Genomic DNA, 18,668 nt, shown 5'->3' on the forward strand with positions numbered 1-18,668 from the left:
TCACTCTAGAATGTGAGTCCTGGAAGTCAGGGACCCAACTGTGCCCTTGTGGCCTAGAAGCACACAGACGCCTGACAATACTATGATGAATAACTGGTGGTGAATCAGGATTGAAATAAGGGCCTATCTGCCTGAAAACCCATGCCCTTAACGCTCGTGTCTTTTTGGTCTGCAGGGTTTGGTAAACCTAACGCTAAACTTAACCTTCAGTGTAACCCTAACCCTGATAACCAAACCTATGCTAACCTCTAGCATAATCCCAAATGAATTAATTAATAAGCCATGAAATGCTCCCTGCCTGACCCTGTCCTTGGCTCTGTGGGGCAAGGGCTCTGAACACAGAGGCTTGGGCCATTTAGGGAGAGGAGATGCAGGAGCTCAGGTGACAGCATAGATGGACTCAATGAAGATGGTGGGAGCACATGGAGTCGGCAGCAGGGAGAGGGCAGCGGAGACGGAAGGCTGAGTTTCCCTCCTGGGAGGCCTGGCCAGACCTGAGTAGGGCAGACCAGGCCAAGCGGAGCTGGAGCAGCGGTCACAGAACAGGAACGCTGAGCCGACCCCCACTCCCAGGAGCGGCTACTCTGGCCTGCGAGGGCCAGCCCAGCGGGTGGGGAGGCGATGCCCTGCCCAGCTTCCTGCCCCATTCCAAGCTGGCCAGGAGCCCCACAGCCAGCACAGGAAATAACAGGGGCCCCCAGAGGCCGCCCAGGCAGGCCCTGCTCCGAGGCCACCCGGGGAGGGAAGGAGGCCATTGTCGGCCTTTGTTTCAGTTTCCCCAGCATTACCCAGGCTCCAAGAGGCCACTGGGAGCTCACAAAGCTTCCCCCCAACCTGCAGCTGTCCAGCCTCCCCCAGCCCCGACCCTGGGGACAGGCCTGCCAGGCCCCTGGTCTCTTAAAGAGGCAGGTGCAGGGTGTAAAATGAAGTCACATGCAAGTTGGGGGTTGCGGGGCGGCCCATGCAGGCCACAGCAGGCCAGGCAGGCGAACAGACAGATGCACCAAGACTGGGGTCTAGGTCCACACCAGGGTCAGCCCAGCACTGGGCCCAAGTGCAGGGGTGCAAATCTTTGGATGGAAAGAATGTCTAGGGCCCTGAGGGTACGACAAAGAAATGGAAGAAAGAAAACAGAGCAAGGAGACAATCTGGACATCTTGAACACCCCGCCTGGGCACTGTTCCTGATCCTTCAAGGGAGACAGCCCAGAAACAGGCTTTTTCTGCTCATTTGCATGCCTGGGTGTGGATGAGTGAATGCTGCATATGTGTGTATGCCTCTGTATGTGCATGCATTTGTAAGTGTGTGCACATGCGCACTATGGGTATGTTGGCAGTGTGAACACACTCCTGTATGCACGTATGGGTGTGCATCTGTGTTATGCATGTGTGTGCATACCTGTGTCTGCAGGCATCTGTGTGGGTGTGCATTATGCATATGCATGCACTTGGCTGTGCGTACATATGTGTGTAGTATGGAGGAACATGTATGTGAAGGCCCATATATGTGAATGTGTGTATTGTGTGGAGTATGCATATGCCAATGTGCACATACGTGTGTGTTTACATGTGCATGGGTGGTACATGTGCATTGTGTGCAAATGTGTACCTACATGTGTGTGAATGTCCATGTGCATTGTGTGGAGTACATTTGCACTGAGTGAGAGTATGAGCATATATATGTATGAATGTGTGCATGCATCCTTGTGTTGGTGTGCATGTAATATGTGTATGTTGTGTGTGCACATGCATGCACACACAATGACTTGTGAATTTACACATCACCACCAAAGAGCACTCACAGGTTTTTGCCCATTAGCAATCACTCATTCCCACACTGACCCTGGTGGCTTCTCACTAGTGGTGTGTCGCTGCAATGACATTAGGGATTACAGCACATTCTAGTGCCCGTCATTCCACCAAGATGCAGTAAGTCTCCACTGAGTCCCAGGCACTGTGAATTAGCAACTACAGAAAGCGTGCCCTAGACTCAGACAAAACCCCAACTAGCTGTGCAGACTGGACTAGTCTCTTTAGCTCTTTGGCCTCAGTTGCTCATCTGTGAGACGGGAATGCTAATACTGTGGTTAACAAGGCTTAAATGAGATAATGCATGTCACAGCCCCCTGTCTGGCACCAAGTGGATGCTCACTAGATGGTTATTATTTTTTAATTGTTATTGTTAAGACAGTGATAATTGCTGAGGATACGACAGGAAGCAAACAGGCACTGTCCCTGCCTCCACAAGCTTGCCAGGTTTGCAAGGCATTTAGCCTTGATAAGTAGAATAGCATAAGTAAAATATATCATATTTGCCAGACTAAGCATGAGTCTGATGTGCTAACTATCACGTATGGCCAGCAGCCATCAGTTAAAGCAATCAACCATGACAAAGGAGAACAAATTATCAGTGGAGGTAAAATAATAATTTTTTGAACCAGAGAGGCATCAGATAGCCAGGTTCAGCATAATCTCATGTGTGTGAGAGTGTGTGTGTGTGTGCGTGTGTGTGCACCTGCCTGCACATTCAAGAATGTTAAGGGAATGTCAGCTGACATGACAGCAGCCTAACCCCTGTGGGCTGCCTGCAGTCTACAGCAGGGCACCATTGACCATATCCAACCCAGGAGCTGGGCCCTGCAGAGTGTCCACCCAGGAAGCCAACACACGCCAGGTGGTGTGGTCAAGCTGATTTTGGCCATTTCCTAATGGGCACTGGCCCATGGCCGCACAGTCCATGTGTCCAGCCCCACCCAAGGAAGGAACCTGATCTCAGGTCAGCCTCAGGCCTCTACCTTTCAGAGCAGACCCAGCCCACCTCCCACCAACCCCCACCCCACCTGGCCTTCCCCACTTGGGAAACAAGCCATGCCTCACCAACCACGGTGAACAAGAATGGTTCCCTACAGACTCAGTTCCACCCCAAATCTGCAGGAAGGTGAAGCGGATTGCCCCAGGCACTGTGGCCATGCCCAGAGATTGCCAGTCACGATGTGGGGAGAAAGGCAGGAAGCTGTGACGATGTGACGAGAAGGAGGGGCCCATCTGAGCCTTCTCTGTCACCCATACAGACGCAAAGCTCAGAGCTAAGCTCCTATGGCACTTCCCTCCACATGGTGTCAATAGCAAAAGTAAAGGTACAGGGTGCCAGGTGGCACCTTAGGGGTTGAGCACTCCATACGGATTTCCCGTGCCATCCTCACAATGGCCTTAGGAAGTAGAATTATTATTCTCCCCATTTCCGATGAGAAAATGAAATGACAGGGAGGTTTAGTAACTTACTCCATATTGAACAGCTAATAAGTATCTAGACCTCAAACCCAGATTTTGCTCTAAACAAAGTGAACAAAACTCAGGCCCTGCACTTCCCAGGACAAATACAGACGAAGAAGTAGAGGTGAGATTCTGCATCTTGGCAGACATTTGCCAGGCACCTGCCAACTGCCAAGCCAGGGCTGGGCTGTGGAGACACAGAGAATCAGACTTGGTCACTGTCCCCTAGGAGTGAGCAGAGCATCAGGGAGCTGGGTATAAGAGAAGGAACATTAGAACCAAGCAGAGGGCAGCGGGAGCACTGAGGGCCAGGATCAGGAGCTCTTTGGCTCAGGGGGCACAAAATTATGTCAGGGCTATCATGGGAAACTTCCTGGAGGAGGTGTCATTTAGGCTGAGCTTCAAAAAATGCCAAGGGGACACACACAGTCTATGGACCAGCAGCATCAACATCACCCTGGAGCCTGTTAGAAATGCAGAATCTCAGGCCCTACCCAGACCTGCTGAGTCAGAATCTGCATCTTGACAATTTGCACACATGTTCAAGTTTGAGGAGCACTGGTGCAAACCACCCCAGGACGCACAAGGCTGGGCAACACTGGAGGGAGCAGGATGGGCAGCAACTCCCCCAAATGCATGAGGAGTTATGCCATTGGCACCCCACCCCACACACCCCAACCCACAGACATGCCTGACTGTTTACAGGCAGGCTTCAAGTCGCCAAAGAACTATTGATTTCCAGTGTCCACCAGCAGGACAGCGGGATCCTTGGGGACCTAGGAAACAGCCAACACCAAAGAGAGGCCTTTCCATCCTCAGGGAGCACCCCAGCTTTGGAGAAAGTAGGACTGGCCCCTCCTTGTCTTTACAATCCTCATTACTGAAGTCCCCCGAAAAGCCCAACAGCACCAGGAGAGGAGGGGCAGGGCCATGGGCTTGCTGGGGCAGATGGTCCCAAATCAACTGAGCAACTGCGCTGCAAAATCTCAATGCCAGGCCAGGGACACGAGACAAATGACAGCATCCCTGCCATCAGGGAAGCCCCAAGTCCATCTCAAGTGGGTGGAAATCAGCAAGACAAGCCTAGCTCCGTGGAAGCGAAGTCATCAGCCAGGGTAGAGGTACAGGAGGAAAACAGGAGTCAGAAGACGCACTGCACACGTGTTCATTTCCACATGTCCTGGGTACCAGCACACTTGAGTCCAGAGCACACATGTGTACATGTATGCACAGGCTCTGCATACACATGTGCACAGCAGGCATGTCGACGAGGAAGCCAAGTACAGTGGAGCCCAATGGGGGCCCCAAGGCTGGTGCAGAGCCAGAGGAAAAGGGTGGGCAGGAAATGCCACCTCCTCCTCAGAGAACTGGTCCAAGGCAGCCCCAGGGAGCCCAGGATGCAGCACAAACCAGCAGGCGGAGCACAGGGGTGCTGGAGCCTCCCCCTGCCAGGGGTCCGAGTCAGGGCTGCAGCTACCTGGGCATACTTACACACAAGCACACACACAAGTGCATGCATCCGTGTGCACACAAGATACAGAATGCCCTACCCCATAGACTGCTCACCATGGTAACAGAGTGGCCACCTCTCAGCTCCAGTCACCACCTGACGATTTCTGAGGCCCCCTGTGCTAGAGGGGGAGCAGCTCTAACAAAGGCGCAGCCCGGGCTGCCTGGCCAGGGGTCCATGGAGCCAACCCGCCAGCGCATGCCTGCCACGCTCCCCCGGTGAGCTCAGGGCCACCGCGTCTTCCTACCCAGCCTGCCTGGCTCCACTTAGCTCAACTCCCCACAGGCTCCCCAGCCGAGCTAATGAGAAACTCCCCAGCTGGCCCCATATAAAAATGCATTTCATAAGTCTTTAAAATGCTGGGAAATTCTACATCTATTTAGTGAGACTTTTTTGCTCCTTTAAAATGTCCCTTGGTCCTCATCAAGAAGATGATTGGGTTGAGGGCTCAAGCACAAAAGGTGGACGCCACCAGCACACCAGCCGGAAGCCAAAGGGCGCCCAGGCAGCATGCACCACGGGCCACAGCCAGGCAGCTCCAGGCAAGTATCGTGGGTGGGTGGGACATCCCACAGGTGACCCAATGCAGGACGGTCACTTGGGGAAATGTGTAAAGTGAGACCCAGCGGGGAGCAATGGACAGAGAAGAGGGGAACAGTCTCTCCAGCCTTGATTTGGGGATTGAAAGAAAAAGTTAGAAGGTGCTGGGAGCCCCTGAGAAAATCTCCAAAGGAGAAAAAAAAAGACCACCCACACGAAGATGTTCATCATGGCATTATTTACAACAGCCATCACCTAAAGCAGTCCAAACGTCCAACAGGGGAGAGGCGGAGAATAACATTCATGCCCATCCACTCAAGGGCTCCAGCACAGACACTAAGGTGAGAGGTACGTGGGTCCCAGGATCACAGGAAGCTCAGGTCCAACAGGGACTACAGGGAAACCCACTGCGAGTTCAGCGTGGACTTCATCTAGAAGCTTATAGACGAATGGAGCTCGAAAGGGGACTGGGAGAAATGCAAACGCAAGTGCAGAAGCGCAGGGGTGTGGGTGGAGTTTCTGTGAAGCTGTTGAAATAATAACTATGCACTCCAGCAAAACACAAGCAGGGCAGGAGGCAGCTCCGCGTGGTTCAGAAGTGCAGGCGGGACTGCACGGAGTGGCCTCGCCTCCCCATGGTGAAAGGCCCGGGCTTCTGGACATTTCTATCCATTTCCCCAGCCAAAACCTCGGGGCAAAGGACTGCAGGGGATGAGGCTGTCGCCTTGGTCAGGAGCAGGGACCCTGACCATTCTCCTCACCCCAACTTTTACCCAGAACCAGGCTAAAAGAAAAATGGGAGGCTTCAATGCATTCTTCCCAAGGAGGTCCCAGGACACCAGCTACCCCATTGCCAGCTCTACCTCCCATCTGAGCAGGTCCCAGAGACTGCAGCCTTATCCCCACCTTCCCCTGCAAACTGGCCCCATGCCCAACACCCAGATGTGGAAGGAGGGCTGGGGATGGGGCTGGAGGTGGTGTGAGTCCCTGCAGAGAGCCTGGCCCAGTGTTTTCCAGGCCTGGCTTTGAACATGGGAGATGTGTGCAAGGTCTTCAAAACATGTACCTCCTCTCCTTCCAGGCAGCAAATCCTGAGAGCTGGCTGCAGTCAGACTCTTCTACCTGACCCAGGAGTGACCGGGGCACAGAGCTGATTCCAGAGAGTCTCCTCTAAAACAAGGCATGGGACCCACTTTCTCACCGGCATGTCTGCCATCTACAGTTGAGGCACTAAATTCATGCATGAGCGGCCTGGGTTCAAACCCTCACTCTGCCACTTCTTGGCTGAGTGACCTAGAACCAAGTTATAGCATCTCTGTTTCTCGGTTTTCTCACATGTATGTGAAAAGCACTGGAAAGGAGCCCTGGCTCCTAGAAGCACCTCGTAAATGGGAGTGACGGTTCCTATTAACCAGAGCAAGAAGACCTGTCCCATGGCAGGAAAGCCTAAAAGTCTGATCACAGTGCGACACCAATAAGGTCTCAGGCTGCGGGTCCATCACGGTCAACTGATAATACTGAGTGTTCCTCTCAAACCACAAGTGTGTCTGTCACCATGCCAGAAATAAACTTACCTAACCTGCCCAGGCATTCACAAGAAGTATGTGTCAGCAAACTGTGTCCTATCTCTGGCCCATCCACAGACCCTTCTCCTACTGCCTCTCCCTGCTGCTGTTCCAGAGCTGCTATGCTGGATGGAAGCCATGGAGCAGACTCTGCCCAACCAGTCCCAGAACCCAGCCTGGAGAGGTGGGAGATTCCAATGAGACTCTGACTAGACAATTACATAAAAATGACCCCCTTACCCACTTCACGCTAAGCATGGTGGTACATGCCTGTAATTCCAGCTGCTTGGGAGGCTGAGACAGGAGGATTGTTTGAGCCCAGGAGTTCGAGACCAACCTGGGCAACATAGCAAGGCCCTGTCTCAATTAAAAAAAAAAAAAAAAAAAAGATGAGCAGCTTCAGCTCCCAGATCAAACTCAGTCACAGGGAAAGAGGAGGTAAATTTCCACATGGTCGTGTTGGTTCCCTGAAACCCCACATCATAGACCTCAGGATCACGCATGATGTTTCTGGTGTCTGCCACTTAGAGACCTCATTCCAAAGGGCTTGTGGGAAGAGGGAGGAAATGCTGAAGGTAAGATGTGTCTCCCTGCCAGGCTGGGATGGGCGGGAGAGACAGGGGTTAGGGGTAGGGTTAGGGTTAGTACCAGGCTGGGATGGGTGGGAGAGGGGGTGATTAGGGTTAGGGTTAGAGTTAGGATTAGTGCCAGGCTGGGATGGGCAGGAAAGAGGGGGATTAGGGTTAGCATTACAGTTAGGGTTAGGGTTAGTAGCAGGCTGGGATGGGCGGGAAAGAGGGGCGTTAGGGTTAGGGTTAGAGTAGGGTTAGGGTTAGTAGCAGGCTGGGATGGGCGGGAAAGAGGGGGGTTAGGGTTAGGGTTAGAGTAGGGTTAGGGTTAGTAGCAGGCTGGGATGGGCGGGAAAGAGGGGGGTTAGAGCTAGCGTTAGGTTTAGTAGCAGGCTGAAATGGGTGGGAAAGAGGGGGGGTTAGGTGTAGGGGTAGGTTTCGTACAAGGCTGGGATTGGCGGGAGAGAGGGGGGGTTAGGGTTAGGGCTAGTGCCAGGCTGTGATGCGCAGAATAAAGGGGATTTGGAGACGTTGGTAGGAGGGAGGTCAAAGGCACTGGGAGCCTTTGGAAGGCTGACGCTTGCAGATCACAAGGTCAGGAGATCGAGATCATCCTGGCCAACATGGTGAAACCCCGTCTCTACTAAAAATATAAAAATTAGCTGGGCGTGATGGCACGTGCCTGTAGTCCCAGCTACTCGGGAGGCTGAGGCAGGAGAATCGTTTGAACCTGGGAGGTGGAGGTTGCAGTGAGCCAAGATGGTGCCACTACACTCCAGCCTGGCAACAGAGCAAGACTCCAACTCAAAAAAAAAAAAAAAGAAAAGAAAAAGAAATCCATGAGTTGTCCAGAATGAGATACCTTCATGCCTACTAGGAAGTTTAGAATTTACAAAAAGGAAAATAACAAGTGTTGACAAGGACCTGGAAAAAGTGGAATCCTCATGAGCAGTGGGAATGTAAAACGCCTGGGAAGGTCTGGTGGCTCCTCCAAAGGTTAAACATAAAGTTGCCCTATAACCCAGCAATTCCACGCCTACAAACACACCCAAAAGAAATAAAAACAAGCGTTCAAGCAAAAACTTGTACATTGCCAGGTGCGGTGACACACACCTGTAGTCCCCACTACAAGGGGAGGCTGAGGCAGGAGGATCCCTTGAGGTAGGAGTTCAAATCCAGCCTGGGCAGCATAGCTAGACTCCACCTCTAAAAACAAAACAAAACTTCTACATGGATATTCACAGCAGCTCTATTCACAATAGCCAGAGATGAAAACAACCAAAATGTCAATCAACAATACCCAAACAAAATGTGGTCCTCCCATACAATAGAATATTATACAGCCCTAAAAAGGGGTGAAGGACAGACACCTCCTATAATAACATGGATGAACCTTGAAAATATTAGGCTAAGTGAAAGAAGCTAGTCAATGGAGATTATGTATTATATGACTCCACTGACAGGATGTCCAGAATAGGCAAGTCTACAGAGACAGAAAGTGGATCAGCCAGGTGTGGTGGCTCATGCCTGTAATCCCAGTACTTTGGGAGGCTAAGGTGGGTGGATCACCTGAGGTCAGGAGTTCAAGACCAGCCTGGCCAACATGGTGAAACCCTGTCTCTACTAAAAATACAAAAATTAGTCAGGTGTGGTGGCACACGTCTGTAATCCCAGCTACTCGGAAGGCTGAGGCAGGAGAATCGCTTGAACCCGGGCGGTGGAGATTGCAGTTAGCTGAGATCATGCCACCCCACTCCAGCCTAGGTGACAGAATGAGACTCTGTCTCAAAAAAAAAAAAAAAAAGAAAGTGGATCAATGGTTGCCTGGGGCTGGGAGGGGTAGGAGGGCAGGGGTGATAGCTAAGGATACAGTGTTTCTTTTTTATTATTTTTTTCTTTTTCTTTTATTTAGTTAGTTATTTCAGAGGCAGGCAGGCAAGTTATCACTCTGTCACCCAGGCTGGAGTGCAGTGTCATGATCATAACTCACCGTAACCTCAAACTCTTGGGCTCAAGTGATCCTCTTGCCTCAGCCTCCCAAGTAGCTGGGATTACAGGTGCATGCCACCATGCCCAGGGCTATTTTGTTTTTATTCTTTGTAGAGACAGGCTCTCACTATATTACCCAGGCTGGTCTCAAACTCCTGGGCTCAAGCAATCCTCCTGCCTTGACCTCACAAAGTGCTGGGATTACAGGCATGAGCTACCGCGCCTGGTCCAGAGTTTCCTTTTAAGGACATGAAAATGTTCTAAGTTGACTGTAGTAATGGTCACACATATCTCTAAATATACCAAAATTCACTTTAAATGGGTGAATTGTATGATATGTGAATTATATCTCAATAAAGCTGTTTTTAAAAAGATATAAGCTGGGTTTGTTTGTTTTTATTTTTTTAAGAATCTAAAGATTTCTTATGAAAATCCAGCTTTCTGGCTTTTCTTTTAAAACCTCTGAAGATCTGGCAACTCTGGACCCAGCCAGAATTCTGGCAATTCATGGCCCAGCCAGCAGGAGCTGAGGGCCAGCCATCCCCTTTGCAAGGTCTGTGTCACCATCCACCACGGCCCCCTCACGTATCAGCCCACCTGGGCCACTAGCCTGCCTTGGGTGGGCCTTTGAGTTTGTGACCCTGGCAAGGTTTTCCCATTTGCAAAGGACTTTCACATTTGTAAGGAGTTCACACCTATGGCCTGGCAAGGCAGGAGAAGTTGGGGTTGGCAGGAGAAGAAGAATGACCCACGAACTCCCCTGAAGTCACACATGAAACCCTGTGTGTGTCCGAAAGAGAATCCACACAGTTCCACTGGATGCCCAAAGGCACCTGTGACTCAAAACAGGTTAAGAACTCCTCCAGCTCCACACCTCCAAGGCACCCCCACATCTTGACTCCAGATGAAGTGCTCCTTCCCCTGGGCTCACCATTAGCAGCCCCATTCACCAGCAAGTGGCATGAGTGGGCCTGCGCACTCCGCTCCCCACGCCCCCGCCTCCGGACTGCAGGATATTGCCATGAGCTGATCATTTCGCTCCTTTCCCTGCCAGGCAAGGCCAGGCTCTCCATCACTGTCAGGGCCCCCGCTCGAGGGCACGGAAGGAGCAAGCCTGGTTGTTTCTGGGGGCGGAGGGCCACAGGGTCCCCACTGGCAGGGTGGCCAGGGGAGGCCAGGGGTGAGTGAAGACACAAACTGCGCATTCTGCTTCTTTATTGCAGTTCTCCATCACACACCCAAGGCTGGGAAAAGCAGGGGAGAGGAAGGCGCATGAAAAGCTTGCGCTCTGGGCCAAGAGGGCCCCCCAAGAAGAGGGGCTGCTCCATGCCTTACAGCTCTCCCTTCCTCCTGGTAAACTGCCCTCAGCCCAGGGACATTGGGGGCCTGTGAGCAGGACCACCTATGCCCTGCAGCCACCAGGCCTGTCTTGCCAGGGACCTTCCAGAAGTCCCCATAATGCCCTGCCTTCAGGTCCTGCTCAGCTCTCCACCTCCCGATGCCAAGTGGTGCAGAGGTGAAACCACAGGCTCTGGCTTCTGGAGGACTTGGGTTCGAGTCCCTGATCCACAGCTTGCCGACTGGGGACCGTGGATTCACTACTGTACAGCTCCAAGCTCTTTCCCTCATCTGTCAAATGAGGATGGGGATTCTCAGTAGCAGTGCCAAGGATGGCCTGGGAGGTTTTGCTCCCCCATAATCTTCTTTGGCATCTGCTGCCATTCTCTGATGTGGCCAAGTGACATTTTCTCAGTTTAATGAAAAGTATTAGACAAAAGCAGCTTTCACCAGGCCTTTGGCCCTGGTGTCAACCAGATGGCTGTCCCTAAACCAAGCCCACAGAGAAATTATGGAGCTGCTGCTGGAAGTGGCACCCACCTCACAGAGCTGTCACGATGGCTCAGCGAGATGCTGCAGGTAGAGTCTTCACTCAGTGCCTGGCATGCACTAAGTAAGTGCTCAATAAATGTGACATCGCCCACGTCCAGGGCTACCTCCCACACTGACTTCCGCCTGCCACCCAGGCTTGGAGCCGTCTCACACGCCCAGTGCTCAGGGAATAAAAGCTGACTTTAATAGCCCAATTCCAATAGAACTGGGAAGGAAAATTTACACATGCACAGCACAAACTATTAAAAAAAAGAAAAAAAAAGAAAAAACACCAGCAAAAATGAGCCAAAGAAAACAAAACAATTCCTGGCCTGGCTGTCTGGCTGTGGATTATCCACTGCCAGGGATGCTCTGCCCTCCCTCTCCCCATAGCTGAGCAGAGAATCCGAAACTGGCACCGTGGCGAGCCACGGCCATGGAGTCACAAGGAGTGTGCATCCTCCTACATGCACGAGGCATGCTCAGCTCTTGCCTGGAAACTGGCAAATCCCACAGCTCCCACTACTCCCAGGCACCCCAGAGAGGCCCTAAGACTGGCTGCCCAACTATGGAATTACAGAACTACAGAACCCAGTTCCCTAGCACCAACACCACCCTTGCCTTCTGCAAGCTGGGAGACACCTCACTGCCTAGGGGATGCAGCTGGGGTGCTTGACACCCCCCCTGCCCAGGGCTGTCTGTCTATAGCAATCACTGCCAGCACCCTCCTTGCACGCCACTGCTGTTCCCATCTGTCTGCATCACCTCCAGCCCCACCGGGAAAGCAGCTGGGAAGGAGGACCTTCTGTAGACAACACTGGGCTGAGTGCTTTCCTAGTTCAGGGGTTCCTACAGTGGGATCCTCTCTAGAGCGGGCAGCAAGCCTGAGCCCCTGCACCCCTCGTCTCTCAGGAGGACTACATGTCTGAGACACGGCGCCTTATGGCCTTGCTGTTTCCGCCAACCATGGGGAACGCACTCCCCGCACAGAAGGAGACACACGGGGGGCTACACAGCCCCTTCCCCCAGCCTCCTATCTGCCCAGTGCTGACCCCAAGGCCTGTCCTAGTCCTGGACCCTCCTCCCTAGAATTTGAGCACCACTTACCACGTTGGCTTCAGACAAGGCCCCTCTCTATGGAGGAAGCCCCTGTCACCAAGGGCCAGGGCACCTGCAGCCACAACAGTGCCCAAGCCTGGGTCAACCAGGACCCTGGAGACTCTGCAGGCAGCATTAGCTCCTGCTGGAAAGGACACGGAACCAGGGGCCACAGGCTTGGGTTCAAGGGCTTAGTCTCCTTTCCCAAATTTCATTGAACCATCTTCAAGCTTCCCGCTGAGTCTCCGTATTCTGTACTATTAACACTTTCTTGTCAACTCAGTTTTTTCACTTAAATGAATTTAGCATCATCGTAAGTCACAAATGTCTATAATACCACACATTAGACACATAACCATGAAAACATTAAATGTTTATATACCTGATGCCTAACCGCGTTTCTGAAATACTGACCCAGAGCAAATCTCTCTTCCTGCTTCAGTTTCCACAACTAAAAGAGGAGAAGCTTGGACTGAATGTTCCCTCATAGGCCTCCTCAGGCCTTAGGATTCTGCAAGACTGAAGCAGCTCCAGCTCCCCCACAAATCCAGAAAAAGCTGGTCAGGATCCCAGGGCAGGCCTGGCCCAAGGCAGGGGAGGAGGACAAGGAAGGGGATCCCGGCGCCTGCCGGACAGGGAGCCAGGGGCATCACTGCCAAGAGAGGCCCTGGCTGCATGAGGAGCAAACAGGAGAGCCTGGGCCCTCATTCAGGAGCTCCCAAAGACCTCTCAAAGCCAGTTCTAATCTCAGTACTCATGGGAAGGCTCCAAGCTACAAAACTTCACAGTCAGAAAAACTTTACTCATCCACCTCTTTTTACAGCTAAGAAACAGAGGTACAGGAAAGAGCTTATGCGGGGATCCTGACTGTCACGTCACCCCCGACACCCCACGAGTCTGAGCTCCCTCTATTACCTCTCCCTGGAGGCATGAGCTCAGCTCTGCCAGCCCTGAGAATGCAGAGCAGCCCCTTCCAGGGAGGGAAAGAGGAATTCTGATGTAGACTGGAGTTTAAAAGTCCTATTAAAGTGGCTTTTATGCAATTAGATTGGAATGAATGTGCAGTGACGCCCATAGCAGGGAGCTTCAAGGCTTGTGCAGTGGGAAAATCACTGCCCATCTGAACTGTAGCCACAAGAAGGAAATGTGGCCCTCGGGAGAATAAGGGAATATTAGTCTCCGTATGTAATAGATTTTATTGACCATATGGAACTGATATAAAAATCGTGTTGCATGGGGTAGTCTGGATTGGAGGCAGGAATGTGACACGAAGAATATCATTTCCATAACCAGCTGGGTGGCTTTCTGAGTTCCTGGGCCAGCCCCCAGGACCCCCTGCAACTCTTCCACCAGCCCCCGGGCATTTACCTGCTGCTGTCACGGAGGAATCCCAGGCCAGCGAGAAGTCTGAGGCCTCCCCCTCTTCAACTGAAAGAGAGAACAGAGATGGGCCTGTGAGTTTGAAGGCTGTACAAATAGATCAGGTAAGGCACAGGGCGAGGAAGAAGGAACATTTGTGGGGGTCCTTATTATAATACCCATCACCAGGGGAGAGGGGGCAAAGCCTACAAAGAGGCCTTTATTGGTTTCACAGAGATGTAAAATGATCGGAATAAAACAGGAATAGCAAGCAAGTTAAGTGCTGGATCAGTTATGGTTTCCCCAGCCCTGTGCCCCTGGCAGACATCACTAATCAATCTCAGCACTGCCTCAAGAAACCAATAAGGTTGCTCTCAGAGATCAGCAAAGTGGTGAGTGCTCATGACCCTGCTGAGACCTGACCCACAGATAGACCTCAGGACACGCTGAGGTCAACTCTCCCAATGACAGCACGTCTGAGCACTGCAACTCATGAGCTGACAACATCAGAAGGCAACCAGCCTCCCCCCCATTCCACCCAGGACCCCACAGAACCAAGCTGGGCAGAGATAGGGTGTCCCCACCATCCCACACCCCAGGACATAAGCCCAGGCTGGTAGAGGCCATGCACTAGGAGAATATGGGAGAAACACTACACAGCATAACAACACTCTTGTCCTGGAATTAATCCCAGTCTGGGGCATGTAATAATATTAAAGCTGGGTTATGGACTTTGTAAATGGAACTTTGTTTAAGCCAAAAATGTGCATACACAGTATTTTTCAGATTTAATGGCCTTTCTAGCTCTGCATATGTGCAGGCTGAAGCCACCATGAACCACCCAGTTCTCTCTGCACTGTCGATGTTCTTGCTGGCACCACGTGGGTGCACACTGAGCCAGGCACTGTGCTGGGGCTTTGCAGCCATCACTGGGTTTCGTCTTCCTCAACGGACTCTCAGAGGGGTGTCTGAGGTCTTACAGGTAGTGAGAGCCACGAAGAGTTTGGGCTCAAACCCAGGGTTGTCTGTCTCCAAGGTTGCTTTGAAAACCACTGTTGACCGGGGTACAAAGGATGCTATCCAGAACCCTAGCAACTCAGGCTGGAGGGCAGTGACCCCAACCCACCACATGGAAGGCATGTACAACACGCAGGCAGCCACCTTGCGAGTGGAGCAAGCAGGCTGGCTTGTGGTCAGAACCTGAGTTCTAGCGCAAGGCACAGCCCACCTTCAAATCTCAGCTCTGCCTCTTACTAGCTGTATATGACCTGAGCAAATGATCTAACCTCTGGGTTTCTGTTTTCCCACTTCAAAAATGGAGAAAATAACGGTACCTAAGCCATAGGGCTGCTGGGAGGATTAAATGGGATAACGTCTGTGCAGCATTGGGCACTGTGCCGGCACAGGGTAACTGCCCCCATAATAATGTCAGGGCTGTCATCTGCTAGAACAGTGGCCCAACCAACCGAGTGGGGGTCGATGCCACAACTCAAACAGTCCTGCTCTACGTGGTGCTCTACATGGTGCAATCTACCCCCTTGACTATGTAACCATGGTCTTCCTCCTCCCCAAAGCCTCACAGAATGGGTTTCTCTGAACCCTGAGAAACAGCACATGCAAGAGGGAACATCCACGAGCAACTAGCCAAGGAATGCTAATGAAGTGTGCTCTCTTTTCCAAGCCCGCATCCTGAGAGTGGACAGGCAGGATCAAGACAATGAAATGCACAGATAATTTGAGCTGGGACCCAAGCTATTGTTTTACTTAGCTAGTTACAGCTGGGGTGGGTTTTCAAATGTGCAGCTTTATAAATAGCAATCAAGACCTCGTGTCAGACAAAATTGATATTATTCACTAAAATGATTCCAACCAGACAGCCTCCAAAACATGGGTGGCTAATGCCTAAAGCCATCAGAAGCGGGCCATGCACGGAAGGAGCTGTTGTTAACAGCATTCAATGCTATGCCAAAAAATCAGTTTCCCTTACATTTCATCTTTTACTTACACGCACACATGTAAATATATGGTGCTTCTATTAAGAGACTGCTGCCAGTGTGCAAGGTTACCATGCTGCCATTTTGTTAGACACCTTCCACAAGGTCTCCATGGGTCCCTAAACCTTAAGAATGACGTAAAGGTATATGAGCTGATAAAGAGGTCAGATATGTTAAATTTGAAAGAAAAAGCACAAAAAATATGTTCAGCAGAATCCCTTTTGAGTGCATTAAAAAGACATGTCCAGGGCCGAACACAGTGGTTTATGCCTGTAATCTCAGCACTTTGGGAGGCCAAGGCAAGCAGATCACTTGAGGTCAGGAGTTCGAGGCCAGCTTGGCCAACATGGTGAAACCCCATCTCTACTAAAAATACAAAACTTAGCCAGGCATGGTGGTGCATGCCTGTAGTCTCAGCTACTCGGGAGGCTAAGGCAAGAGAATTGCCTGAACCTGGGAGCTGGAGACTGCAGTGAGCTGATACTGCACCACTGCTCTCAGCCTGGGCACAACAGAACGAGACTCCATCTCAAAAAAAAAAAAAAAAAAAGAAAGAAAGTGGATCGGTGGTTGCCTGGGGCTGGGAGGGGTAGGAAGGTAGGGGTGATAGCTAAGGATACAGAGTTTCTTTTTGATTTTTTTTTCTTTTTCTTTTATTGATTTAGTCATCTGCAGGTATCAGGGCATTAATACATGACCCCAGTTCTCCTCTGACCTCTGTGCACCCAGGTATCAGGACAAATAGTCTGCACACTTACACCCACTCAAGGTGGTTTAGTTAAGAAGTGTGACCACCCAAGTCACTGAACTTGAGGATGCCCCAAAGATGTCAAGTCATCCTCTTAGGAAGATCTGGCCTCGGCCATAATGGGAAAGAGAACAGGGAAACACCCAACATTTTGGAGCTCTGGGGGAAATCAAAGCTCTGTGCTGGGTCCCAGAAGTCCAGACAGGCCTGCAGGGGTGGAAAGAGGAGGAAAGTGGCCCAGTGCTAACTGGCTGGGGAGGTCCAGAGTGGCAGATCTCACTACAGGCTTCCTGGTCCCTCACTGCAAGCAGCCGCATGACACAATGCAGTCCCTGGAACCACATCCCTGTGTGGTGAGGGATCTGTGGGTCACCTTACTTACGACTTGGGTGTTAATGCGTTTTCCTACAACTGCAGGCACCACCCCACTCACATGCCCTCCTCTAGCCCATATTCTGTTTTTTGAAGGTAGAAGCACACCTTCAAAGGTGAATATGGGCTAGAGGATTCAAAAAACAGAAAAACAAAAACAGAATATGGGCTAGAGGATTGTTTTATGAGACAGGCTCATGCTCTGTTGTACAGGCTGGAGTGCAGTGGTGCGATCATAGCTCACTTCTCAGTCTTGACTTCCTGGGCTCAAGTGATCCTCCCACCGAAGCCTCCTGCATAGCTAAGACTATAAGCGTGTGCCACTTCATCTGGCTAATTTTTTTATTTTTATACTTTTTATAGAGACAAGGTCTTGCTATGTTGCTCAGGCTGGTCTCAAACTCCTGGGCTCAAGTGATCTCCACCTCAGCCTCCCAAAGCACTGGGGTTACAGGCATGAGCCACCACGCCTGGTTTTTATACATTCTTGATGAGAAAGAGTCAACACCCAACCCCCCACCACCCCCATAAGGCCCTGTGCTACCCAGCAATGAGTGTGAGGTTTTTTTCTCCCCACAGCTGCACTCTTCTGTCCAGACTGGATCTCCAGCAATGGCATCACTAAGCAGGGGCAGCAGGCACAGAGGAAGGAGGGCCCGTCTGCAACTGGAGCTGGGGACAGGTGGCCCCAACCCACACTGGCAGCAGGCACTCTCTGGGGGCCCAAGCAGCGAGCCCCCAACATCCCTAAGAGGGAGTTCTGCTGCCGAGCCCCACTGCACACTGAAGACTCGCAGCTCAGAGAAACCCCAATCCGCACAGGGGCCGATAGGGACAACACACCAAAGGGGCTACTTGGCCGGCCCGCGGCGCCTCCTCCAGACGTCCCTAGCTCCATGTCTAGTTGTTTAATGTATACAATAATTGGCCCCACTGAAGCCAAGAGATACACACCCCACCCTACCCCACTTCAAGGGGAACACAGTACTCCTGTGGATGATGGGCATTTGTAAGGTAGGTGGGTGGCCAGGGTGTGCCCACACTGGAGGGTGCACAGGGTATACCGGCATAGGGACAGCACGTGAAGCAAGTGTGTGCACACAGAGAGGAGGCATGGGGGCAAGTGTGTGACACAGAGCAGAGGCATAGGGGCAAGTGTGTGACACAGAGCGGAGGCATGAGGGCAGGTGTATGCACACAAGGAGGGCATGCAGGGTGGATGTGAATACACAGGGAGGGGGCACATGGCAGAGCCCGATTCACCACGATGCTAATGAAGCCCCAGCTCCAGAGCCCTTTGCAAACTCAAGCCCCTCTGCACACTGGGAGGGGTCCCAGCAGTGGGGTTCTGTAGCCCTACATGTTTTGTAACCTTTGCAAAGGAAAGATCTGTTACCTACTTAAGACCTCTCTGTCTCTGTCTGTCTCTGTCTCTCTCTCTCTCTCTCTCTCTCTCGCTCTCTGAGATGGGGTCTTTCTCTGTTGTCTAGGCTGGAGTGCAGTGGTGTGATCACAGCTCACTGCAGGCACAACCTCCTGGCTAAGGTGATTCTCCTGCCTCAGCCTCCCGAGCAGCTGGAGCCACAGGCACATGCCACCACGCCCGGTGGATTTTTGTAGTTTTTTTTGTTTGTTTTTGTTTTTGTTTTTTTTTTTTTGTGGAGACAGGTTTTTGCCATGTTGCCCAGGCTGGTCTTGAACTCCTGACCTCAAGCAACCCTCCCACCTTGGCCTCCTAAAGTGCTGGGGTTACAGGTGTGAGCCACTGCACCTAGCCCACTTT

General features: G+C 51.7%; 1 protein-coding gene across 11 annotated transcripts in view, besides 1 other annotated feature; it reads right to left on the reverse strand.

The window, feature by feature from the left end:
- ZNF423 (zinc finger protein 423) overlaps window positions 1-18,668 on the reverse strand; it is a 371,756-nt gene that overhangs the window by 288,183 nt on the left and 64,905 nt on the right. For all 11 annotated transcript variants that reach the window (XM_047433809.1, NM_001379286.1, XM_047433808.1 and 8 more), the window contains one exon: window positions 13,781-13,840. Coding sequence is in view for 9 of the 11 variants with exons in the window: in NM_001379286.1 (NP_001366215.1) it covers window positions 13,781-13,840 (60 nt within the window). In the remaining 2 variants the exon portion in view is untranslated. The remainder of the gene's footprint in view (window positions 1-13,780; window positions 13,841-18,668) is intronic.
- Window positions 330-841: an enhancer, noted in NCBI's record as "H3K27ac-H3K4me1 hESC enhancer chr16:49809947-49810458 (GRCh37/hg19 assembly coordinates)". NCBI's record gives its function as "activates a minimal SCP1, AML or CMV promoter by ChIP-STARR-seq in primed H9 embryonic stem cells {active_cell/tissue: H9 hESC(primed)}" and the evidence as "EXISTENCE:reporter gene assay evidence [ECO:0000049][PMID:30033119]".

The sequence above is a fragment of the Homo sapiens genome, chromosome 16, assembly GCF_000001405.40.
Source record: "Homo sapiens chromosome 16, GRCh38.p14 Primary Assembly".
Classification (NCBI taxonomy): Eukaryota; Metazoa; Chordata; class Mammalia; order Primates; family Hominidae; genus Homo; species Homo sapiens.